This window comes from Homo sapiens, chromosome 9, assembly GCF_000001405.40.
Source record: "Homo sapiens chromosome 9, GRCh38.p14 Primary Assembly".
NCBI lineage: Eukaryota > Metazoa > Chordata > Mammalia > Primates > Hominidae > Homo > Homo sapiens.
Window position 1 is genome coordinate 5,036,685 of NC_000009.12, and position 27,170 is coordinate 5,063,854.

The window sequence follows — 27,170 nt, forward strand, 5'->3', positions numbered from 1 at the left end:
TCCTTACACCTTATACAAAAATTAATTCAAGATGGATTAAAGACTTAAATGTTAGACCTAAAACCATAAAAACCCTAGAAGAAAACCTAGGCAATACCATTCAGGACATAAGCATGGGCAAGGACTTCATGTCTAAAACACCAAAAGCAATGGCAACAAAAGCCAGAATTGACAAATGGGATCTCATTAAACCAAAGAGCTTCTGCACAGCAAAAGAAACTACCATCAGAGTGAACAGGCAACCTACAGAATGGGAGAACATTTTTGTAATCTACTCATCTGATAAAGGGCTAATATCCAGAATATACAATGAACTCTAACAAATTTACAAGAAAACAACAACCCCATCAAAAAGTGGGCGAAGGATACGAACAGACACTTCTTGAAAGAAGACATTTATGCAGCCAAAAGACATGAAAAAATGCTCATCACCACTGGCCATCAGAGAAATGCAAATCAAAACCACAAAGAGATACCATCTCACACCAGTTAGAATGGCGATCATTAAAAAGTCAGGAAACAACAGGTGCTGGAGAGGATGTGGAGAAATAGGAACATTTTTACACTGTTGGTGGGACTGTAAACTAGTTCAACCATTGTGGAAGTCAGTGTGGCGATTCCTCAGGGATCTAGAACTAGAAATACCATTTGACCCAGCCATCCCATTACTGGGTATATACCCAAAGGATTATAAATCATGCTGCTATAAAGACACATGCACACGTATGTTTATTGCGGCACTATTCACAATAACAAAGACTTGGAACCAAGCTAGATGTCCAACAATGATAGACTGGATTAAGAAAATGTGGCACATATACACCATGGAATACTGTGCAGCCATGAAAAATGATGAGTTCATGTCCTTTGTAGGGACATGGATGAAGCTGGAAACCATCATTCTCAGCAAACTATCGCAAGGACAAAAAACCAAACACTGCATGTTCTCACTCTTAGGTGGGAATTGAACAATGAGAACACATGGACACAGGAATGGAACATCACATACCGGGGCCTGTTCTGGGGTGGGGGGATGGAGGAGGGATAGCATTAGGAAATATACCTAATGTTAAATGACGAGTTACTGGGTGCAGCACACCAACATGGCACATGTATACATATGTAACTAACCTGCATGTTGTGCACATGTACCCTAAAACTTAAAGTATAATAGAAAAAAATGAAAAGGCAAATTGTAAAGATAGTTTCAACAAATCAAATAAACATAAGGTTAGTATTCTTGTAAGTATGAAATTTAAAACAGTGTATCCATTTAACAATTACTTAATGTACATGAATATATAGCGTCACTAGTTATGAGAATAATGAACGAGATTGCTTGCTTTAGCACATAGTTACAACTATTCATTATTCTTATAACTAGTGATGCTGAGAATTTTTTGAAAAGGCCATTAATGATTTGTTCTTCTTTTGTTAAATATTTCTTCATGTACATTAAATAATTGTTTAATGGATACAGTGTTTTTAATGCCAACAAATTAGAGGATCAAGATGAAATGGACAAATTCCTAGAAAGACACAAGTTATAGGAACTGCTAAAAGAAAGAACAGAAAGTTTGAATAGGTCTATGACAAATAAAGAAATCAAATTAGCAATTTTTATAAAAGCCCAGGCCCAAGTGGCTTCACTTGTGAATTCTATCACACATTAAAAAAATTATTACTAGTTATTCACAAAAAATAGAAAAGGAAGGAGGATTTCTGAGCTCTTTCTGTGAGTTCAGTATTACCCTGATAACAAATTCAGACAAAGATGTCTAGAAGAAAAGAAAACTACAGACCAATGTTGTAGGTAGAAAATCAACAAAATACTTGCAAACCGAATCCAGCAATACAGCTTGAATATGTCTTATCTGAAATGCTTGGGACCAGAAGTGTTTTGGATTTTAGATTTTTTTTTTTTTTTTTGGATTTTAGAATATTTGCAGAGTATACGCTGGTTGAACATACCTAATATAAAAATCTAAAGTCTGAAATGCTCTGATGAATATTTCTTTTGCACATCAGGTTAGCGCTCTAAAGGTTTTGAATTTTGGAGCATTTCGGATTTCAGATTTTCAGGTTAGGAATGCTCAGTTTGTTTATAAAAAGATGAAATACTATGACCAGGTGGGATTTATCCCAGGAAATACAAGGCTAGTGTAACTTCCAAAAATCAATCAATGTAATACACCACATTAATAGAATAAATGACCAAAACCACATGATCATCCCAAGAGACACAGAAAAAGTATTTGATAAAATCCAGCATCCCATCATTATAAAAAAACTCAACACAATAGGAATGGCAAGGAACTTCCTCAATTTGTTAAAGGGCATCTGTAAAAAATTCAAAAGTAATGTCATACTTATTAGTGAAAGACTGAATGCCTTTTCCCTATGATCAGGAATGAGATGAGGATAGCTACTTTTACCACTTTGATTTAACACTATACTGTAGATTCAGGGTAGGGAAATTAGGCAAGAAAAAGAAATAAAAGGCATTTATATTGGAAAATAAGAAGTAAAATTGTAGTCATCCCGCTGTATCCATGGGTTTCACATCCATGGATTAAACCAACTGCAGATTGAAAATACTTGGAAAAAAAGTTGTGCTTACACTGAACATGTACAGACTTTTTCTTGTCATTACTCCCTAAAGAATACGGTATAACAACTATTTACATAACATTTACATTGTATTAGGTATTATAAATAGTCTAGAGATTTTAAAGTATACTGAAGGATGTGCACAGGTTATATGCAAATACTATGCCTTTGTATATCAGGAACATGAGTATTTGCAGATTTTGGTATGTGTGGGAGGTTCTGGAACTAGTACTGCATAGATACCAAAGGATGATTGTGTATTCACAGATTACATGATCTTGCATATTAAAAATCCTAAGGAATTAATAAAAAAACTATTAGAACTAATAAATGAGCTCAGGTCAGTTGCAGAATAGAAGATCAATATATAAAAATCAGTTGTATTTCTATACAGAGACAAAGAACAATCCAAAAATGAAATTAAAAAAATTTCATTAACAATAGCATAACAAATTTTTAGGAATAAACTTAAAGAAGTGTAAAATGTATACACTGAGAAATATAAAACATCATTGAAAGAAATTAAGGAAACACCTAAATAAATGGAAAGATATCTCATAGAGGACTTCATATTTTTAAGATGGCAATACTCCTTAATTGATCTGTATGTTCAATGCAATTCCTACTGAATTCCTAAATGTCTTTATTGCAGAAATTGACAGGTTAATCATAAATTTATATAAAAAGCAAAGGGACTTAGCATAGCTAAAACAATCTTGAAACAATACAAAGTTTGAAGACTTATACTTCCTAATTACAAAATTTATTACAAAAGGACTGTAATCAAGACAATGTGATACTAAAGGATGAATATACAGATTAATGGAAAGGAATTGACAGTCTCAATATAATTTCTCACATTGATGGTGATTGATTTTTGATCAGGGTGCCAAGACAATTCATGGGCATAGAATAGTCTTTTAAACTAACAGTGCGGGGACAACTGGATATCCACATGTAAACTAATGAAGTAAGACAATCTACTTCACACTATATACAAAAAAAAAAAGCTTAAAGTGGATCATAGGCCTATATATGAGAGCTAAACTTATTAAAACTCCAAGAAGAAACACAGAAGTCTTTGTGTACTTAGATTAGGCAGTGGTTTCTTAGATATGACACCAAAAGCTCAAGTGACAAAAGAAAAATAGTTAAGTTAGGCTTTATCAAAGTTAAAAACATCTGTGTGTCAAAGCACACTATCAAAAATGCGAAAAGACCACCCACAAATGGGTTCCACAAAATGGAAGCAAATGTTTGGGAATCATATATCTGATAATTGTCTTATCTCCAGAATATAAAAGAATTCTTACAGCTCAACAAGACAATGACAACTTAATTTAAAAAGTAGGCAAGGGACTTGGATAGACATTTTTCCAAATAAGATATACAAATGGCCAAAAAGCATGTAAAAAGATGCCCAACAGGTGGGCCCCTGAGCGGGCGTCCGGGACCGTGGTGTGCCAGGCGCCTTCCGCCCTTAACATGCGGTGGCTGGCCCAGGCGGTGCAGGAGCTGGAGCGGGGCCCGAGTGGGGCGCCAGAGCCCCAGCGCGAGCAGGAGAGGGGCCGGAGCGCGGATCCGCGCCGCGCTGCTGAAGCCTGGCCGGCCACCCAGACGCTGCCGGCAGCCTGGCCATGGCGGAGCCAAGGAAAGAATCTCTATACAAACAAATATGTGGCTATCAAATTGGAGCTGATCAAGTTCCGGACCCCGCAGCTGCACCTGGGTACCGGTTCTACAAGCAGCTCAGCGCCATAGAGGGCGTCCCTCAGGTCTACTACCTACTACAGCCTGGAGGACCTGTTCGACCTTCACGCCCAAGACGGTGCTCCTGATCGCCATCCGGCTGATCACGCGCATGGATTATGTGCACACCAAGAACCTCATTTACCAGGACGTGAAGCCCGAGAACTTCCTGGTGGGGCGCCCGGGGACCAAGCGGCAGCACGCCATCCACATCATCGACCTCGGGCTGGCCAAGGGGTACACTGGTCTCAGGACCAAGAAGCACATCCCGTGCAGCCAGCACAAGAGCTTGACAGGTACGGCGTGCTACATGAGCATCAACATGCACCTGGGCAAGGAGCAGAGCCACTGCAACAACCTGGAGGTGCTGGGCCACATGTTCATGTACTTCCTGTGCAGCAGCCTCCCCTGGCAGGGGCTCAAGGCTGACACGATCATGAGCGGTACAGAAGATCGGGGACACATAGCGCGCCACGCCCATCGAAGTGCTCTGCGAGAACTTCCCAGAGGAGATGGCTACGTACCTGCACTACGTGCGGCGCCTGGACTTTGAGAAGCCCGACTGTGACTACATGCGGCGCCTGGACTTTGAGAAGCTCGACTACGACTACCTGCGGAAGCTCTCCAGCTACCTCTTCGACCGAAGCGGCTTCGTGTTCGACTCTGAGTACGAGGGGCTCGGGAAGCCCTTGGCGACCCCCATCAGCAGTGTCCACACCGACCTGCCCTCCCAGCCTCAGCTTCGGGACAAAGATCAGCCGCACAGCAAAAACCAGGCGCTGAACTCCACCAATGGGGAGCTGAACGCGGACGACCCCATGGCCGGCCACTCCAGCGCCCATCAGGGCGCCTGCAGAGATGGAGGTGGGCGATGAAACGAAATGCTGCTGTTTCTTCCCCCTGAATCTTCTCCGTGCGGCCCCTTGGGGAGCGAGCTTGTGTGAGGGCCTTGGGGCCCACCCACAGCGGCCCAGGGCCAGACGCTGGCTGGAAGCCAGGACACAGACTGCAGGGTCTTGGCCGGCGGCCCCATCCCCGGGACGAGGGGTCACTTCCTTCACGTAAGACTGGCCAAAATTTCTTTTTTTTTTTTTTTTTTTTTTTTGAGACGGAGTCTCGCTTTGTCGCCCAGGCCGGACTGCGGACTGCAGTGGCGCAATCTCGGCTCACTGCAAGCTCCGCCTCCCGGGTTCCCGCCATTCTCCTGCCTCAGCCTCCCAAGTAGCTGGGACTACAGGCGCCCGCCACCGCGCCCGGCTAATTTTTTGTATTTTTAGTAGAGACGGGGTTTCACCTTGTTAGCCAGGATGGTCTCGATCTCCTGACCTCATGATCCACCCGCCTCGGCCTCCCAAAGTGCTGGGATTACAGGCGTGAGCCACCGCGCCCGGCCAAGACTGGCCAAAATTTCTACACCTGTGTCTAGTCCTCCCCTCCAAGAGCATTAACTATTTAAAACAAGGAATAAAGGAAAAAAAAGAAAGGCCCCCTCCACCCCCACCCCTCCATTACTTTGCTGAAGTGAGTAGTGGGATCCTGGAGGCCCCCAGGGCTGAGGCCCAGCCAGCTGCCCCCGTTAGCGTCATAAAGTCCAGCTTGTCTCCCTCATCCAAAGGCCGTTTTCTCAGTGGGAGGGCAGGCCTGGCCTGGAGGGGTGCTGTGGGGCCATCTTGCCCAGGCCCACCTGGGAGGGACACAGGCATTGCTGCCAGGGGTGAGGCTGTGCCCCAGGCCTCCCCAAAACTAAAGGGGAACGGAGGGGTGGGGCCGCGGCTGAAGCCAGCCCCGCAACCAAAATGCTGCACCAAAGCTCGGTCGCCACAGGCACGGCCACCGCAGCCTTTCACAGCCTGGCCCCGGCGAGGGGCAGGTGGGCCCTGCTAGGAGGGTGCTTCTCGAGGCACCTGTTCCCCGAGGCTGTGCTCCGACCCTCAGAAGCTGAGGGGGGTGGGCCGGCTGGCGTCGCGCGGCTCGGCCCCTGGGCCCTGCTGTGTGGAGGCGCGCGGGCTCGTGGCTTCCTGTCTCTGTGCTCCGCCCCCTGGCAAGCAGCCGCAGACAAAATGCCTTAAAGCCCCCGACCCAGCCCCGCAGGTGTATGTGCAGGGGGGTCTGCGGGCGGCCCTGGACTGGCTGGCGGACTCCCAGCGGGTCAGCTTGAGGCAGTGCCCAGGGCGGTGGCCGTGAGTCTGGTTTTTGCTTTACCAAGTGTACGGAAATGGCGTTTACGTTTCTCTGATGCTCTTTTGAAGCCATACAACTTAGGGGCTTTAAAAAAAAAAAGGAAAAATGAAACCCTCCGAAAAAAAGATGCCCAACATCATTGGTCATTAGAGAAATACAAATCAAAACCACGATGGGATAATAATAGGTCTACAAGGATGGCAAAAATCAGAAAGACAAACAATAACAAGTGTTAGAGAATTTGGACTAATTTGGATGCAGTATATTGCTGTTGGGAATGTAAAGTGGTGCTGCTACTTTGGAAAACAGTTTGGCCATTCCTTAAAAGGGTAAACAAAGAGTTACCATATGACTCAGCAATTCTACTTCTAGATATATATGCAATAGAAATGAAAACATATCCACAAAAACTTGTACATGACTCTTCATACTAGCGTTATTCACAATAGAAAAATAATAGAAACAAACCCAAATGTCTGTCAGGCGATGAATGGATACAGAAAAAGTGGTATATTCATACAATGAAATATTAATTTGGCAATAAAAGGAAATGAAGTAATGATACATGCTCTAATGTGGATGAACCTTGAAAACATTATGCTGAGTGAAAGAAGGCAGACAGAAAGGCCACATGTTCTAAAATTAGATTGTGATATTTGTACAATGCTATGAATAAACTAAAAACATTGAATTTTACACTTTAAGTGGGTGGACTTTATGGTATGTGAATTATATCTCAATAAAGGTGTTACTAAAAGACAATATAGAGTGTTCTTTGTTTCTCTGAAGGACAAGTTTTTAACTTCCATTTCTCCAAATAAGCAATTATTTGTTTTTATACCAAATTAGCATTTTCAGATTCCCTACTGATGTTACTGGATTAAGCTATGTTTTTAACTTTTTGTTAATTTCTACATTTTTTGTTTCCTACTATTGCTTCTACATTTTGTGCACTGAAGGAGGTAGTATATTGATTTTACACTTACATTTCTTGTACTTTCTGCCTATATTAGTGTTATCCACATATCCTTTTGTCTCACATTTATATTTAATACTGTTAGCTGTGTTTTCTAAGTATGGGATAATACCTTTCAGTATGCTGTAGGTGACTATATATAGATAGTACGTTTGTATTTGAACTATTTGGAAGCTGACCAAATGTTTTTATTATCTTGTAGATTTTACTTTCCTCGTTGGTATTGCAGTGGCAGCAACAGAGCCTATCGGCATGGAATATCTCGAGGTGCTGAAGCTCCTCTTCTTGATGACTTTGTCATGTCTTACCTCTTTGCTCAGGTATGATTATATTATCTTACTTGTACATGAGTTAAATGATAAATATCTTGCTGTTTAATAAGTCACTTAATCAGGAAAAACTTTACATATGGGAAAATTGCAGTTCTGTCTTGCACAGCAGGTGCAGAGAAGTAACAAAATTGAGTCTTTTAGCACTAGTTTTTAATCCCATGGTTTATGGATAATAGAATCTATTTTATAAAGTTTTTTTGGACTGATCCTTTTGAATTTCTTTCTTTTTTAGGACTTTAGATCATTTTAAGGATTTCGCAAAGTATAGACTGAGGTTTACAACATGATTCATGTAGACATACGTGGCTAAAATATTAGTAACATTTCTTTATGGTTTTTAAAAAAATTTTTGGACAATTTCAGGCTTACACAATGGACAATGAACTGTAGAGAAAGTAGGTTACATAAAAAAATGAGCTCTGATAGTTTGTTTAGCTGTTTATAGGAAGGTGACTGGATGTTGATACTTAGTCTAAGAGCTATATTCAAGTTATTTGTTCACTAATACAGTTATGTCAAATTTTTGTATTGTGTTGGTATTTCATAATGCTTTCTTCTCTATTACCTTGATTTAAACAGTAATTGAAATATTTTGTCATTAAATAACTTGTTTTTATGTGCTGCTAGACTAGTAGGAATAGAAATTAAAGGAAGAAAATATATTAGTGCTCTTGGGTAAAAATAGGCACTTGGTATCCCCAAGGTATCAGGAGTTCTAAATCAGATTTGCTAATATTGTAGGAAACAAGCCCACAGATCCTCATGGCTCGCATTTCTGAGAGGAAGCCTAGTAAGCCTAGTTCAGTTTATGAACAACAAAAGGAAAAACATTTCTCTATTGGGGTATGAGACCAACAAACTTTATTTTTATTGTGGTAAGAGATATATAATAAAAATGACCATTTTAACCATTTTAAGTGTACAGTTCAGTTGTATTAAGTACAAATACATTGCTGTACAACCATCACCACCATCCATCTCCAGAACATTTTTCATCTTCCCAAATGGAAACTTCATACCCATTAAATAATAACTCTGTATTTCCCACTCCCAATGGCCTTTTGCAATCACCATTCTACTTTCTGAATATAAATCTGCCTTTTCTATGTACCTCATACAAATGGAGTTATATAGCATTTGTCCTTTTTTGACTGGCTTATTTCACTTAGCATAATGTCTGTCAGGTTCATCCATGTTGTAGCATGTGCCAGAATTTCTTTCCTTTTTAAGGCTGAATAATATTCCATTGCATATGTATACTGCATTTTATTTGTTCATTCATCTGTTGATGGATACTTGGGTTGCTGCTGTGAACATGGGTAAACAAATATTTCCTTGAGTCCCTGTTTTCAGTTCTTTTCAATATATACCCAGAAATGGAATCGCTGGATCATATGGTAAATTTATAATTTTTTTTGAGGAACTGCTACATTGTTTTCTGTAGTGGCTGCACTATTTTTCAGTCCTACCAGCAGTGCACAAGTGTTCCAATTTCTCAACATCCTCAACAATGCTTTGCTTTGTTTGATAATAGCCATCTCTATGGGTTTGAGGTGGTATCATTGTGATTTTGATGCATACTTCTCTAACAACCAGTGATCATGAGCATCTTTTCATATGCTTGTTGGCCATCTGTTTATCTTCTTTGCAGAGATGTTGCTTGTTGGCTATTTGTTTATCTTCTTTGCAGAGATGTCTACTGAAGTCCTTTGCCCATTTTTAAATCAGGTTGTTTGTTTGTTGTTATATTATAGAAATTATTATTCTGGATCTTAACTCCTTATAAGATACATGATTTGTAGATAGTTTTTCCCATTCTCTAGGTTGCCTTTTCATTCTGTTGCTTGTCTTTTGATGGACAAAAGTTTTAAATTTGGCTGTATTCTAATTTATCTATTTTTTGTTTCCTATGTTTTTGGTGTCATATCCAAGAAATCATTGCCAAATCCAATGTTATGAACCTTTCTTTCTGTTTTCTTGTAAGAGTTTTATCATTTTAGCTCTTACATTTAGGCATTGGGTCCATTTTGAGTTAATTTTTGTCTATCGTGAAGGTAAGGGCCCAACTTCTTTTGCTTGTGAATATCCAGTTTTCCTAGCACCATTTGTTGAAAGACTGTCTTTTCTCCATTGAATGGTCTTGGCACCTTTGTTGAAAATCATTTGACCACCAACCTACTTTTTTATACAGCTCCTTTATCTGTATAGCCATTATGAAAAGAGAGGGGAATGGAGAGAGGCTTCTAAGAATAGCCTTTTGAAAACAGGATATTATGAGGTTACAACTTTCTGTTGCTTTTACGGGTATATTATTTCACCTGTGCTGCAGAGCTAGTATATTTTGGGGGTAGGCTAGTTAAGTCCCATTTATAAGCCAAGTTTTCCCAAACTATTCATTCAGCTACTTTAGCCTAATATTAATACTGCAATGTCTAGTATTTTTGATCTAGAAAAATTTTGGGTGATTTCAGAATACTCAATTTTATCCTTCTAGGAAGGATTGTCTTATCTAGCATGGCAAGGTAATTCCACCATATAATTCTAAATTATGTCTAGATAGTACCACAAGCAATTTTCTATTTTTTAATGTTTTTACTTCTCTAAATTTGTGCCCAGAAAATATGATAGTATTTAGATTACTCTAAGATTGTACTGTTATCATTTTATATTATATGCATGTTGTAGACTATATATAGCAAATGTGACCAGTGGCATTACCAGAGTGTAAGAATATCTTGACATCTTTAAATAACCAAAAAATAGATAAGCCACTGAACTGTCTTTAAAGTTCTTAAGACAGTACCTGTAGGAAGACAGATTTGGAAAAGGTAAGCAAATAAAAATCAAAAGTAAGATGGCCCTTTTAAATTCAGTTTCCTCTGGGAATTAATTGCCTTTATATCATCAAATATGGCTGCTAAGCAAATAAACTGCTGACATGTGAACAACTTTTAATTAATTCATATCTATTCAACAACAATTGGATGTTTACCTCATGTTCTTGGCATCATTTCTGATTTTGTGACTGTGACTGTTTTTTATTTCCCTGGCTAATGAAGATGTAAATTTCTTAAGTTCAAATTTTGTCAGCTACTCAAATGAGAAAAGGTTTTCTTTCTTATTTTATTTTTTTATAGAGATTGAACTCCTGGGCTCCAGTGATTGTCTTGCTTCAGCCTGTCAGCCTCCTGAGTAGCTAGGTACAGGTGTGTGCCACTATGCCTGGCTAATTTTTTTAGTTTTGGTTTTGTGGAGATGGGGTCTCGCTCTATTGTCCAGGCTGGTTTCAAACACCTGGCTTCAAATGATCCTCCTACCTCAGCCTCCCAAAGTGCTGGGAGTACGAGTGTGAGCCACCACACCTGGCCTGAAATTTTTCAGTAGTTCTAATTAAATGAAATTTCTGAGGGTACATACTATAATATTTAAGGAATAGTATTTATTATGTTTTGGCATTTGAGACTCTTCCATTTGTAACTTTTCTCTAGTGAATAGTTTATTATGTTTTTAGTATTGCCATCACTCATTTTTCATATATTTATTGTCTTCTGATCATGACTTCCATAGAATTTCCACATGAGCAGAATTTGTTATCTACCAGTTCTTTTCTTTTCTTTCTTTTTTTTTGAGATGGAGTCTCCCACTGTTGCCTGGGCTGGAGTGCAATGGCGTGATCTCGGCTCACTGCAACCTCTGCCTCCCAGGTTCAAGTGATTCTCCTGACTCAGCCTCCCTAGTAGCTGGGATTACAGGTGCCTGCCACTACGCCCGGCTAATTTTTTGTATTTTTAGTAGAGATGGGGTTTCACTATGTTGGCCAGGCTGGTCTCGAACTCCTGACCTTGTCATCTGCCTGCCTTGGCCTTCTAAAGTGCTGGGATTACAGGTGTGAGCCACTGCACCCAGCCCATCTACTAGTTCTATAGGGAACCAAGGCAGGCTATTAAAAAGAATCTACCAAGTCATTGATCATCTTCTACTTAAACAGTATAACTTACTTGCCTGTTCTCAAAAGTGTGGTGAAATAAGTGTTTAAAATTGAGCAAAAATCTGTCTCCTACCCTGAATTAATTTTGTATTAGCAACGTTTAGGCCTTTGTTTTGGGTGATACTGATTATTTGATGGTGTGGTTCTTAATAGTTTATTTTCTTATATGAAAATATCTTCTATATTTTATTAATAGAAAAGCAAATATACTTTTAAATATGTTTCTTTTAATAAAATTAGTTTAAAAAGGTTCCAGTAAAGCTTTAATTTCATGAGACAAGTTATTACATCAAGAGAAGAGAAATACAGATGTAGAGTATAGAGGGCCCTTGTCCGGTTTAAAACCTTGATTCGCATTGTTATTTTAGGTAATATGGCTCTTACCTTTTTTTCTACAAAGAAAATTGGTATTATGTTTAGAATATTTGTACTTCTGCTTTCTTTTTCTTTCTCCCATTACATGTTCAGTCAGATTTATCTGTATTCCTAAATCCTCCAGGTCAAAATCGTAGAACCTCTGTGTTTCTCTCTTCTTCATTCTTTAGACAATATATAGTTAATAAAGTTATCAGCCTTTTTTCAGAATCTTTTAGTATCTTCTGTTTCCTGGATCAGATCCTTATTATTTCGTATCTGAGCCATACACCAGCCTCTTAAAGAGCCTCCGTAAATACACTTTATTTTCTTCAAGCACTTCTATCATTGCTACTACTCTGCCAATGGAAGAGACATGATGAAAACAGATCTCCATAGTTTCTAGGATCAGGTCATTCAAGGGTACCTGCAGTCGGACCCCAACTTACTTTTCTAAGTTTTAATCCACATTATTTCTTCACATAAACTTCAGGCCCTAATCAAATTAGTTTATGCATCTGAACATATCTGGTGCTTTTGTGTGTGTGTCATTCCTTCTATTTCTTTACCCTGTTTTGTGTCCATCATACATTTCTTTATTTTTAAACACACTGTGAAGTTTCAAATCTTCCATGAAACCCTCCTTGATTACTCCAGCTGAATATAATCTTAACTTTCTCCAAGTTCCTGAAGGAGCTTTTGTGTGGTGCTTCCTATATCATGTCTGGTGTTATAATTATTTGCTTCTGTTTCGCTTCTAAGCTAAATTTTGGTCCCCTTGATGACTGAGACCACATCTTATACAGTCATGTGTCACTTACTTATGGGGATATATTCTGAGAAATATGTCGTTAGGCAATTTTATTGTTCTGTGAATATCATGTATTGTACTTATACAAACCTATATGTTATAGCCTAGTATATGCCTAGTCTGTATGGTATAGCCTATTATTGCTCTAGGCTACAAACTTATATAGCATGTTGCTGTACTGAATATTGTAGGCACTTGTAACACAACGGTAAGTATTTGTGTAGTTAAACATATCTAAACATAAAAAAGATACAGTAAAAATGCAGTATTACAATCTTATGGAACCATCGTTATATATGTGGTCTGCCATTGACCAAAACATTGTTATGGGGCACATGGCTATTTCTTTGTATCCAACACCACTTGTAGTATGATACTTCCAACATAATTGGAGTTCAGTATATATTTAACTCAGTAATATCTACTTTAATTTAGGTAATTTTTATGTAGAAGATATAATTTGAAGATATATTTAATGAAATAGGTTGATGTTATATGTACTCTGTAATTGGGAACCCAGTGTAAATCAGTTTCCATTTGCAAATGAACTTTTATTAAAATTGTATCGCAAAATGAATGAAAATTAAAGGAGGAATTTATGCCATTTATTTATTTATTAATCATTTTAGAGACTGGGTCTTGGTCTGTTACCCAGACTAGGGTGCAGTGGTGTGATCATAGCTGAAGAGATCCTCCTACCTCAGCCCCCCAAGTAGCTGGGACTGCAGGTATGTGCCACCATGCCTGGATAATTTTTAAATTTTTTGTGGAGATGAGATCTTGCCATGTTGCCCAGGCTGGTCTCAAACTCCTGGGCTCAAGTGATCTTCATGCCTTGGCCTCCCAAAGTTCTGGGATTACAGGCATGAGCCACTGAGCCTGGCCAATTTGTATCTTGTAAATGCATATGTTCTGAAAATTATGATTAAAATATAATCATAGATTAAAACATGATAATGAAACTTACGATGAGATATTTCCTTCAAATTTTTGGTTTTAGTGGCGGCATGATTTTGTGCACGGATGGATAAAAGTACCTGTGACTCATGAAACACAGGAAGAATGTCTTGGGATGGCAGTGTTAGATATGATGAGAATAGCCAAAGAAAACGATCAAACCCCACTGGCCATCTATAACTCTATCAGGTAATTTTCTTTTGCAAATCCTTACACATAAGTGTGAGTAGAGATTTTATATAATTCGTATATATTTTCTGTGTTTACCCATGCCTTTTGATTTTGTAATACTAGTTAAGTACTCCTTATCTAAAATGCTTGGAATCAGAAATGCTTCAGATTTTGGATATTTCCAGATTTTGGAATATTGGCATTGAACTTACCAGTTGAGCACCCCTAATCCAAAATGCTCTAATGAGCATTTCCTTTGAACATCATGTTGACGTTCAAAAAGTTCTGGATTTTGGAACATTTCGTATTTCAGATATTTGCAAGAGGGATAGTCAACCTATAATAAAAAATCATATGGGTAAGTTTTATATCTTGGGAGTAAAACACACTTTGTAAGGTGAAATTATTTAAAGAGTTGTACTACAGGAAATATCATAGGTATTAAATATCTATTATTTGATTTCATTTATTCTGAGAAGGCTAGGGAAGTTCAGAGGAACAGAAGAAACACCTGGAGGCATACTTTTTGATAGAAGATCCTCCAGTTGGCTATATAAATGACCTGAATAAGTATTTCCCAAATGGTGGTGTATATTTTATTTGCATTAGACTCACGTGGGGGAGCCTGTTAAAATCAAAGATTTCTGGGTCCTAATCCAAGAGATTTGGATTCAGTAAATCTGAGTTGAAGCCCACAAATATGAATTTTTACAGATGCTCTAGGGTATTCTTATACAAATGGTCCAAACTCTGCATTCTTCAAATTATTCTTCTGCATATTGAACTTGACAATCATGGCTAATATAAAACTGCTTTTTAAAAAGGTATATATAAGAATGGTTTAAGTTTGAAGGCAAATATGTATTTTATATATTACATACTTCCCAGATTAAAAATTTGAGTACATCATGAGTGTGGTTAAAGCTTCCTTTTTTGAAATTGTTCTCCCAATAACTGGCTTCAGTCATTTCTTTGCCATGTCATCAAAACAGTTACATACCCAATTTGCAGAGTATCAATTTCTGTATTTCTCTCTTTGGTTTTAAATATTCTTGTTTTACTTTCAGATGTCTGTTAGGTCTTAACCTAAGGGTGTAGGCCATAGGGTATAATTTTAGGAACTCAGAAATCTAGAAGATTCCAAAGCCCAAAGGAAAAAAAAAACACATTCATTCATTCAACAGCTACTTATTGAATACTTGCTGTATGCCAGGCTATAGTAGAACATAGTTGGAGGAAGAGTATCTTAGATGTCGTTACATAGAAACTGAAGGAATTCAGGGGAACACAGTTGAAGAACAGAAGCTTTGACCCATTGAAGATGAATGTTATAAATATGAAGCCATCTCTAGACTTAAGCTATCGTGGAATATTTCTGCTTTGGAAACCATGCTGTCATCCAAAGTCTTGGCACAATCTTTCTATGTAGATTGTAGTTTCTTCCAGTTTGAGAATCATGTCATCTATTGCTCTTATCCCTACATTATTTAGTCTAGTGTCCTAAACCTAATGACTATTTAGTAACTATTTATCTGATTCTTTTAACTCATGCTCTTAGCCAGGATATAAACACAGATGCAAAATGCTGCATCATTTTTTTTTACTGCTTTACTTTAAAAATAGTGTAGATATTAAACATTCATATAAGATTCCATGATATTTTAAAAGAGTTTATTGAGATAATTTACAAATCATAAATCTCACCCATTTAAAATATACAATTTAATATTTTGTATTATATTCACAGGGTTGTATAAAGATGACCAGAATCTAATTTTAGAACATTTGCATCCTTTCTGAAAGAAACCCCATGCCCATTAGCATTCAGTCCTCATCCCACTTTCCCCCAGCCTCTGGAAACCACTTATCTTTTTGTTTGCGTGGATTTTCCTGTCTCAAACATTTCATATAAATAGAATCATGCAAAATGTGGTGTGGCATTTTTTTTGTCTGGCTTCTTTCACTTAATATGATGTTTCCAAGGTTCATTCATGTTGTAGAATGTATCAGTACTTCATTTCTTTTTATTGCTGAATCATTTCATTATATAGATATACCACATTTTGCTTATTTGTTCTTCACTTGATGAAAATGTGGGCTGCTTCCATGTTTTGGCTATTGTGACTAATGTGGCTATGAACAGTTGTATATGAGTAATTTTGTGGATGTATTTTTTTCATTTTTTCTTGTGCATATATTTAGGAGTGGAATTCCTGGAACATATGGTAACTGTTTAACTTTTTGAGGAACTGCTTAACTTTTCAAAAGCAGCTGTGCCACATTACATTCACACTAGCAGTACATGAAGAGTTCCAACTCTTTCCGCACTTGTTTCTGTCTGTATTTTATCCATCCTAGTGGGTGGAAGTGCTGTCTCATTCTAGTTTTGATGTTCATTTCTCTAATGACTACTGATGTTTGGCATCTTTTCATGTACTTTTTGGCCATTTGTATGCCTTCTGTAGAGAAGTGTCTATTTGAATTCATTGCTCATTTTTTAATTGGGTTATTTGTCTTTTAATTATTGAGTTTAGAAAATTCTTTTTATATTCTGGATACAAGTCTCCACATATAATCATATTTATGATTTGCCATTATTTCCTCCCATTCTGTGTATTGTTATTTTACTTTCCTGAAGGTATCATTTGTAGCACAAAAGTTTTAATTTTGAAGTAGTCTAATTTGCCCCATTTTTCTTTGTGTCTTGTGCCATGTGGAAATGTGGTTTTAGCAACATGGATGTCTTTCTTGGTTTTAGCAAGAGCAGTTTCTCTTGAAATAATGGAACAGAAGCCAAACTGGAATGAGTTGAGGGATAAATGGAAGGCAAGAAAATGGAAATGGCTATGTACATGCTTTCAAAAAGAGGCCAGATAGGCTGTGGCCAGAAGGAAATGTGGGATTAAGAGATTTTACATTTTATACGGGACGGACATTAATTTAGCAAGTCCTTTGTGCCTGTGGATTCTACATCTAATATGCCACAGAATGAGGTCCAGAAAGGCTTCCTGGATTAGATGGTACTTGAGCCTTGTCGAATGAGTAACTAGATAGGAGATGGATGATTGGAAGAAAGATTAGCATATATTACGGCATGGAAAATTATTTAATGGTACTTCAGAAATAAAATGTTCCTTAGAAGCACAGAAATAAATTACCTTCTTTAGAATATTGTACATAGAGATGAATGTACAGAAAAGTCAGAATATTTCTAAATGGAATTGTTTTGATCACAAAGGAATTATTAGGAGTTGAAGCTGGCCTAACAAAATAATATACAGAAGTATGTTTGCATAATGAAAATGGCTTCCAACAAAATGTAACAATTTCCAAAATTCAGGTAAATGTTGGAGCACAGCATCATAGGAAATATTTGTAGCACAGTTCAATATATGCCAAAATATTATCTTATAAACCATTAACTCTGGTATGTGAAATAGAGAAAAGGAATTTTTAGAGATTCTTATTAACTAGACTGAGGATTCATTTCATTAGGGGAAGAAGATTAACATCTTCTTTTGTAAACATTGATGATAACTTAGAGTGTGTGGATATATTTATATCATCAAACAAAATCTTAAAGTTTTATACTGTATGGATGGGGGTTATGTCAACTTACGCCACTTGGCCACTGTGTTGTAAGGCCTACTTAATCATGGAAAAAGGTGGTAACTTCTTTTTCAATTTTTAGATTTATCTTCCAATTTTTGTTTTGTTTTGTTTTTCTGTATGTGCTTTTTTATCCCTAGCTACAAGACATTCTTACCAAAATGTATTCGAGCAAAGATCCAAGACTATCATATTTTGACAAGGAAGCGAATAAGGTACAGATTTCGCAGATTTATTCAGCAATTCAGCCAATGCAAAGCCACTGCCAGAAACTTGAAACTTAAGTATCTTATAAATCTGGAAACTCTGCAGTCTGCCTTCTACACAGAGAAATTTGAAGTAAAAGAACCTGGAAGTGGTCCTTCAGGTGAGGAGATTTTTGCAACCATTATAATAACTGGAAACGGTGGAATTCAGTGGTCAAGAGGGAAACATAAAGAAAGTGAGACACTGACAGAACAGGTAATCCTTAATGATATGTTCTTGTTCTTTGTTATTTTAAGTACAATGGAAATAAAAACAAAGTAATTTTAATCATTTGCAACATGGTATTGCACTTCTCCCATTTGATAGAAGTGGAAGTTTTTAATAGCGTGAACCTATCAAGGTCATATAATTCTTTGCCTACTATTCTTAAATGGTTTTTTCATTTAATTTTTTATGACAAAATAATTACCAATGACTATATTATAGTTTCAGAAAGATGTCAAATTCTAAAAGTGATTTTAAAGGAGTTTTGCCTTTCACTACTAGTGATAACAGAAGGCATAATTATAAAACTTGTTAACTAGAAAAGATTGATATTAATTGATTTTATGATAATATATACCTGCTAAATAATGAATTTATTTTAGGTTTGCATTGCAAGTTTTGAATTTGTTAATATCCGTGTTGTTCATAGATTGTTACTAGAGATTTAGAGGGATCATTTTTTAATTTTTCATCTTTGGTAGTCACATTTCCAGTTTTCTGGCAGTGGTTTCTACTAATGTTAATTGAATTGAAGAGTGCCATAGCACATTTTAGATTCCTGGCATCATTTAATGCCCTCATTTTTAAGTCAAGCAAGATACAGCATAGTCTTAGGGTTAGATTGATAGAGTAAATCACGTTTAATGCTTATCTATTGTTATCAATACCTTTTTTATTTTAAAGAATTTGGAAAGAATGTTGTCTTCTTAAGTCTTGTTTTAAAATGGCTCTGTAAATTCTACCCGTTTTTAATTTTACATGCTTTTAATTATAGGATTTACAGTTATATTGCGATTTTCCTAATATTATTGATGTCAGTATTAAGCAAGCAAACCAAGAGGGTTCAAATGAAAGCCGAGTTGTAACTATCCATAAGCAAGATGGTAAAAATCTGGTAAGTTTGCTTTATGATTGAATAATGGTTTCATTTTATAGTTCTCAGAAATGTGTATTTTAGAATCTTAGTACCAAAATTATTTTCTGGTAGGAATTTTGATTGTAGTTTTAAATATAACTCTAAACATCAGTTCAGTAAACTTTTTGATAACATCTAGCTTTTTGTATTACTATCAACACCATCTTCCTACAGAGTTTCTTGTACATTACTGTACTTTTTTTACTCATTTTTATGATTAGCAAAGCACCAGTTACTTTCTCCCCCATCCCTACTCTAGATTATACTAGTTCTCTGATGTAATGCTCACCCCTGACTAAAATATTTTATCAACAGGGATGTATATGTGCCAGTTATACTGCCTAATTAAAGGAGAAAAAATAAATCAATGATGTCTGGAATTTATATAACAAAATGTAAATCAATCCCAGGTCAGCCCCACCCAAGCTGTAGGACATGGTTGATTCTAAAAGATTAACGCTTTCTCTTTTTTTAAATAGCTTCAGAAATCTAATTTATTTTAATGTAAATAGGAGAAATGAATTATTTTATACTTTGCTCTTAAGTTTCTCATTTATCTTCTCTGTCTTCTTTTTAACTCAGATGCTTCTTGACCCTTCCTGGCTTAAACTAGTCCTATTAATGTTATTTGTCTATTTATCTTAAGTATTTATATGGCTTACCTGTCTGGCTGTTCCAGGGTTATATTACCAAAATTGTAACTAACTTGCAACTCACTTAATTCAGCATAGTTTTCTGTTCTTAGATAAAAATATGATAGTACACCTACTGCCTAGTAGACTGTGAGCCTTTTGAAGGTAAGGATCATATTTTTATGTGTGTTTGTACCCCCTACACCTTGCACAGTACTCAGGGCCTAGTTTAGAAAAAGCTTGATAAATATTTTATGGATGCATAAAAGGATGATTAACAATTATCAACCTCAATGTGGATATATAATAAATGTTTCTGGGAGAGTTTATTGATCTTAATGTGAACAAACTGTAGTAACCCAAAGAACTTCTCCATGGGACTGTATTTGGACTTGGCTTAATTTTAAGTCTGCAATACAGAGAAGTTAAGTAACTTTCCAAGGGCACAGTGTTAGTTAAGTGGTAGGGCTATTTAAACTCAAATGCATGCTTTGAAAACCTAAGCTCTTAAGTGTGACACTAACTTCTTTGCTAAGTATCCGTAAAGCTCCTTAAAAATATTATACTGACATTTTGTTGGAATTGTGCAACAAACTGGGAAGAGTTGACATTTCTTTCTCATATTAAATTTTTTATTTTAGGGATACATTGTATTTCTCCTTGTATACAAGTATTATTTTATGTTTTTCAGTAATTCTTGATCATTTTATTCATATTGATACATCATGTTTCTTGCTGAATTTTATTCATGATATGTTATGCTTTTTCTGTTGTTTATTAAAATTAATACTTCTTCTCTGTGTATTTTCCTACCAAATTATTTATGGATATAGGAAAGTAATTTTTGCTTATTATTGCATTTTCCCAGTGTATTATGTGTTAGTAACATTTTGTTTTTACTGTCATTTTCCTCTTCATTCTGGCATTTATTTCTCTTTATAATTTTGGTAAAATATATATAAAATAAAATTTAGCATCTTAACCATTTTTAAGTGTACAGTTTAGTAGTGTTAAGTATATTCACTTTTGCATCCAATTTCCAGAACTCTTTTATCTTGCAAAATTGAAGTCTACACCCATTAAATAAAAACTCACCATTTCCCCCTCTTCCCAATCCTTGCAACCAGCATTCTACTTTCTTTTTTTTTTTTTTTTTTTTTGAGATGAGTCTTGCCCTGTCATCCAGGCTGGAGCACAATGGCGCGATCTTGGCTCACTGTAACCTGTGCCTCCTGGGTTCAAGCAATTTTCCTGCCTCAGCCTCCCGATAGCTGGGATTACAGGTGCACGCCACCATGCTTGGCTAATTTTTTGTATCTTTAGTAGAGACGGGGTTTCACCATGTTGGCCAGGTTGGTCTTGAAGTCCTGACCTCATGATCCGCCTGCCTCATCCTCCCAAAGTGCTGGGATTACAGGTGTGAGCCACTGTGCCCAGCCCCTCTACTTTCTTATTCTATGAATTTGACTACTCTAGATACCTCATAAAAGCAGGCTGAAACAATACTGTCTTTTTGTGACAGGCTTATTTCAGTTAGTATAATATACTCAAGGTTCATTTGTATTACAGCATGTATCAATTTCCTTCATTTTTAATATATGTATGTATTCTGTGTCATGTATATACCACATTTGTTCATTCATCCATCAATGAATATTCAGGTCACTTTTTTACTTTTTGACAATTGTGAGTAATGCTGCTGTGAACATGGGTGTACAAATATCTCTTGAAAACTCTGCTTTCAATTCCTTTGGATATATACCTTCTATTAGTCCGTTCTCACACTGCTATAAAGATACTACCTGGGACTGGATAATTTATTTAAAAAGAGGGTTTAATTGACTCGCAGTTCGGCATGGCTGGCCCAGGAAACTTAAAATCATGGCAGAAGGTGAAGGGCAAGGAAGCCATGTCTTACATGGCAGCAGAAGAGAGACAGTGTCCAGGGGAAAGTGCCACTTTTAAACCATCAGATCTCATGAGAACTCCCTCACTATCATGAGAACAGCATGGGGGAAACAACCCCCATGATTCAGTCACCTCCCACCATGTCCCTCCCTCGACACATGGGGATTACAATTAAAGATGAGAGTTGGGTGGGGACGCAGAGCCAAACCATGTCATACCTAGAAGTAGAATTGCTGGATCATATGGTAATTCTACTTGTAATTTTTTAGGGAGCCACCATGCTGTTTTCCATAGCAGCGGCACCATTTTACATTCCTACCAGGAGTACATTCTCCACATGCTCATCAAAACTTGTTATTTTCTGTTTTCTGATAGTAGCCATCTGATGGGTGTGAAGTAGTATCTCATTGTGATTTTGATTCACATTTCCCTAATGATTAGTGTTGCTGAGCGTCTTTTCATATATGTATTGCCATTTGTATATCTTCTTTGAAGAAATATATATTCAAGTCCTTTGCTCATTTTTTAATCAGGTTTTTTTTGCTGAATTATAGAAATTATTTATGTATTCTGGATATTAATCCCTTTTCAAATATATGATTTGCAAATATTTTCTCCCATTCCATAGATTGCTTTTCACTATGTTGCTTGTGTCCTTTGATGCGCAGATGTTTTAAAGTTTTAGCTAGTTCAACTTTTGTTGCCTATTTTTCTTTTTACTTTGTTGAGATATAACATGAACCCAGTAAAGCACACTAATCTTACGTGTATAGCTCAATGAATTTTTACATATTTGTACATCTTTGTAGCCACACCCACCTCAAAAAACAGAATAGTTCTCTTACTCCTAGAAGGTTTCCACATGCATCTTCCCACATATTCACCTCCACCCCTAACTTAAGATACCTATCATCTACCATCACTTAGTTTTATCTATTAATAAAGGTTGTATAAATGGAATGATACTGTATGTATTCTTTTAAAATCTAGATTCTTTTAGTTAGTATAATGTTTGGAGATTCATTTATGTTGTTACATGTGTCAGTTCATTCCTTTTTATTGCTGGGTAGTATTGAATTGTTTGACTGTACCTCAAATTTTAAATGTATTCTGTTGATGGACATTTGGGTTGCTTTCACTTTGGGGATTTTAGGGATAAATTTACCATGAACATTCTTATACATATTTTTTGGTGGACTTATGCACTCTTTTTTTGTATATATATATCCTAGAGATAGGATTATTGAGTCATAGTGATAGCTTTAGTATACTGCCAAACAATTTTTTGTAGTTCTATCAGTTCACTCTTCTTTCAGTAATGCATGAAAATTACAGTTGTCTCATATCCCCATCAACTCTTAATTTTGTCAGTCTAAAAATGTCTTAGTTTGTCTGGTGGATGTGTACTGGTAGCTATTGTAGTTTTTATTTTCATTGCCCTGGTGAGTAATGATGTTCAATACTTTTTCACTTACTTATTGTTCATCTGAATATCCTTCTTATGAAGTGCCTGTGACAGTCTTTTGCACATTTTTCATTGACTTGTCCCTTTCTGATCAATCTGTAGAGTCTCTATAGATTCTAAGTCTTTTGTAGGATGTTTGTAAAACGTATATAGACATACGTCAGAGATATTTCTAGTTCAGTTCTGGACCACTGCAATAAAGCAAATTTTGCAATGAAGTGAGTCACATAAATTTTTTGGTTTCTCAGTACATATAAAAGTTATGTTTACACTATAATCAAGTCTACTAAGTGTGCAACAGCATTATGTCTTAAAAATTAATTTAAAACACTTTATTGCTAAAAAATCCTAATGATAATCTGAGCCTCCAGAGAGTTATAATCTTTCTGCTTATGAGGGTATTATTTTGATGTTGATGGCTGCTGACCGATCAGTGTGGTGGCTGCTTAAGGTTGGGTTGGCCAAAGCAATTTCTTAAGATAACAATGACATTTACTGCATCAGTAGACTCTTCATTTCGTTAAAGTTGTCTCTGTAGCATGTGACATTGTTTGGTAACATTTTACCCACAGTAGAATTTCTTTAGAAATGAGTCAGTCCTCTCAAACCCTGCCACTGCTTTATGTACTAAACTTTATTCTAAATCCTTTGCTGTCTTTTCAACAACATTCACAGCATCTTCACCCAGGACTAGATTCCATCTCAAGAAACCATTTTTTTATGCATAAGAAGCAACTTATCTGTCCAAATTTTATCATGAGATTGTAGCAATTCAGTCACATCTTCAGCTCTACTTCTAATTCTAGTTCTCTTGCTATTTCTACCACATCCTAGTGACTTCCTCCATTGAAGTCGTGAACCCCTCAAAGTCATCCATGAGGGTTGGAATCAACTTCTTCCAAATTCCTGATAATGTTAACACTTTGACCTTCTTCCATGAATCACTGATGTTCTTCCTGGCATCAAGAATGGTGAATCCTTTCCATAAGTTTTTCTATTTACCCAGCTCCATCAGATGAATCACTATCTATGGCAGCTTAGCCTTACAAAATGTATTTCTTAGATAATAAGACTTGAAAGTTGAAATTACTCCTTGACCCATGGGCTACAGAATGGATGTTGTGTCACCAGGTCTGAAAATAACATGAATATCCTTGTACATCTCTGTCAGAGCGCTTGGGTGACCAGGTGCGTTGTCAATGAGAGTAATACTTTGAAAGCAATCTTTTTTTCTGAGCAGATCTTAACAATGGGCTTAAAATAGTCAGTAAACCATGCTATAAACAATAGATGTGCTGTCATCCAAGCCTTGTTGTTCCATTTATAGAGCACAGGCAGAGTAGACTTAGCATAATTCGCAGAGCCCTGGGATTTTTGGAATGGTAAATGAGCGCTGGTTTGAATTTCAAGTCACCAATGGCATAGGCCCTTAGCAAGAGGGTCAGCCTATCCTTTGAAGTTTGAAGGCAAGCACTGACTTCTCCTCTCTAGCTGTGGAAGTCCTAGATGGCATATTCTTCCAACAGAAGGCTGTTTTGTTTACATTTGAAAATCTGTTTGTTAGTGTCACCATCTTCATCAATGGTCCTTACTAGATCTTCTGGATAACTTGCTGTAGCTTCCACATCAGCATTTGCTGCTTCACCTTGCACTTATGCTGTGCACATGGCTTCTTTTCTTAAACCTCATGAACCAACCTCTGCTAGCTTCCAACTTTTCTTCTGCAGCTTCCTCACCTCTCTCAGCCTTCATAGAATTTAAGAGCATTAGGGTCTTGCTCTAGATTAGGCTTTGGCTTAAGGGAATGTTATGGCTGGTTTGATCTTCTATCTAGAACTTTCTCTGTATCATCAATAAGGCTGTTCACTTTCTTATAATTTATGTGCTCACAGGAGTAGCACTTTCAGTTTCCCTCAAGGACTTTTCCTTTGGATTCATAACTTGCCTTTTTAGTGCAAGAGGCCTAGCTTTCAGCGTGTGTTGGCTTTCAGCATGCCTTCCTCACTAAGCTTAATCATTTCTAGCTTTTGATTTAAAGTGAGAGATGGGTGAATCTTCCTTTCACTTGAATACTCAGTGGTCATTGTAGGATTATTAATTGGCCTAATTTCATTATTGTTGTGTCTGAGGGAATAGGGAGGCCTGAGGAGAGGGAAAAAGAAAGGGAAATAGCTATTCGGTGGAGCAGTCAGAACATATACAAATTTATCACTTAAGTTCACCATCTTATATAGGCCCAGTGTGTGGTGCCCCAAAACAATTACAGTTGACCCTTGGACATCACAGGTTTGAATTGTGTGGGTCCACTTATATGCAATTTTTTTTCAGCCAAACATGGATGGAAAATATAGTATTCACAGGATGCAAAACCTGCATATGTGTAGGGCTGACATTTTGCATATATGGGTTCTGCAGGGCTGATTTCAGAACTTGAATATGTTCAGATTTTGGTATATGCAGGGGTCCTGTAACTAATCCCCCTTGTATTCTGAGGGACAACTGTACAATAGTTACATCAAAGGTCATTGATCACAAATCACCGTAACAGGTATAATAGTAATAAAGTTTAAATTTTGTGAAAATTACCAAAACATGACACATAGGAAGTAAGCATATGCTATTGGAAAAATTGCACTGATAGACTTGTACTTGCTCCACTTAAGTTTGTCAGAAACCTTCCATTTGTAAAAAAAAAAAAAAAAAAAAAAAAAAAAAAAGGTCATATCTGCAAGGAGCAATAAAGGGAAGTGCAGTAAAACAAAATGTGTCTGTATATCAATAAGAGGGATACTAGTTAGTGAACTGCTAGTTCAAAGGGTATGAATATTTACAACTTTGATAGATTATTAAAATACTTCTCAAAAGGTGTTTCCAATGTATCTGTACACCTGTTTTCTTGTATCCTTTGCCAACACTGGATGTTATCAATCTTTTAATTTTTCTGCCAAATCAATGGGCAAAATAATGCTGTCCTGTTATATTTCATTTCCTTAATTAGAACCTGAGATTGAGCAATACCTCATGTGTTTATAGGTCAGCTTTAATATTTATACTTCTGTGGATTGCCTTTTCATGTCCTTTGACTAGTTTTCTTTTTTTATTTTTAATTGTTTTATACGTTTTATTCCCACAATGTATGTTAGGTATATTCCTTTGTTATACATGTTTGTAATCTCCAAGTCTTTTAATTTTGTTTAGGATACCTTTTATAGTACTTGTTTTTTTGGCTATTTGTGTTAGCTAAATACCTTTTATAGTTCAAACATGTCACATGCTTGTCTCTTTATTATAATTTTTGGTTGAGGACTCTATTCTGTGTTCTCTTTATGATTATGTAAATATTGTTCATTGCTGGGCCAAGAAATATGCTGTAATCACATTTTCGTTCTTATATAACTTTTTCCAGGAGTTAATTATTGCTTTATGATTTTTCCTTTGTATCTAGCTTTATTTTCATTTTCTACAAGAACTCTGTAAAGTAGTGGACTTCTCAATACAAAATTTCACATAATCAAACCTGTCATATATGATAGCATTTTTACTTCTTTTCTGGAGAAGTACCTCTTCGATCACAGCATCTTACTTTGTAGTGTGGACTGGAAGTTTTCTGGGTACAGCTATTATTTTGTCAGCTGTAATTTTTGGTCATTCCTTTCTTATCCTGGTAACTATGTTTTCATCTCTCTTATATTGGATCTGATTTTCTAAATCTCATGTTTGCCCTGTTTTTCTAGGTACAGCCTCTGGTATTTGTTGGTATCTTTAATGTGATTGAGACAAATTAGAAAATTAATTTAGAGAGGATTTTTACATTTTTATGATATTGAATTTTCCTACCATGGTTAATCTTCTATATATTTAAATAAAAAGTTGCATAAGAGTGTTTTGAAGTTTTTGTTAATTATTGATATTGCATCCTCTTTGTTACAAATGGGGCTTTTTTCATTATATAACTGACTTTTTGTATGTAAAAATATAATACGTCTATATATTTTCCCATGTAAGTAACATGCTGCATTTTTGGCTGACTACATGTTCAC

At 36.6% G+C, this 27,170-nt stretch overlaps 2 protein-coding genes and 1 pseudogene across 10 annotated transcripts in view; 2 read left to right on the plus strand and 1 right to left on the minus strand.

The window, feature by feature from the left end:
• Positions 1–27,170, plus strand: part of JAK2 (Janus kinase 2) — a 145,559-nt gene that overhangs the window by 52,295 nt on the left and 66,094 nt on the right. For 6 of the 9 annotated variants that reach the window (NR_169763.1, NR_169764.1, NM_001322194.2 and 3 more), the window contains 4 exons: positions 7,719–7,836; positions 14,002–14,147; positions 17,879–18,200; positions 18,985–19,104. Coding sequence is in view for 5 of the 9 variants with exons in the window: in NM_001322194.2 (NP_001309123.1) it covers positions 7,719–7,836; positions 14,002–14,147; positions 17,879–18,200; positions 18,985–19,104 (706 nt within the window). In the remaining 4 variants the exon portion in view is untranslated. Of the gene's footprint in view, positions 1–4,847; positions 5,224–7,718; positions 7,837–14,001; positions 14,148–17,878; positions 18,201–18,984; positions 19,105–27,170 lie in introns of those variants that run through there. The other 3 variants (NM_001322198.2, NM_001322199.2, NM_001322204.2) reach the window with 2 other exon arrangements.
• INSL6 (insulin like 6) overlaps positions 1–27,170 on the minus strand; it is a 193,664-nt gene that overhangs the window by 44,709 nt on the left and 121,785 nt on the right. The window lies entirely within an intron of this gene.
• CSNK1G2P1 (casein kinase 1 gamma 2 pseudogene 1) lies at positions 4,224–5,441 on the plus strand (annotated as a pseudogene).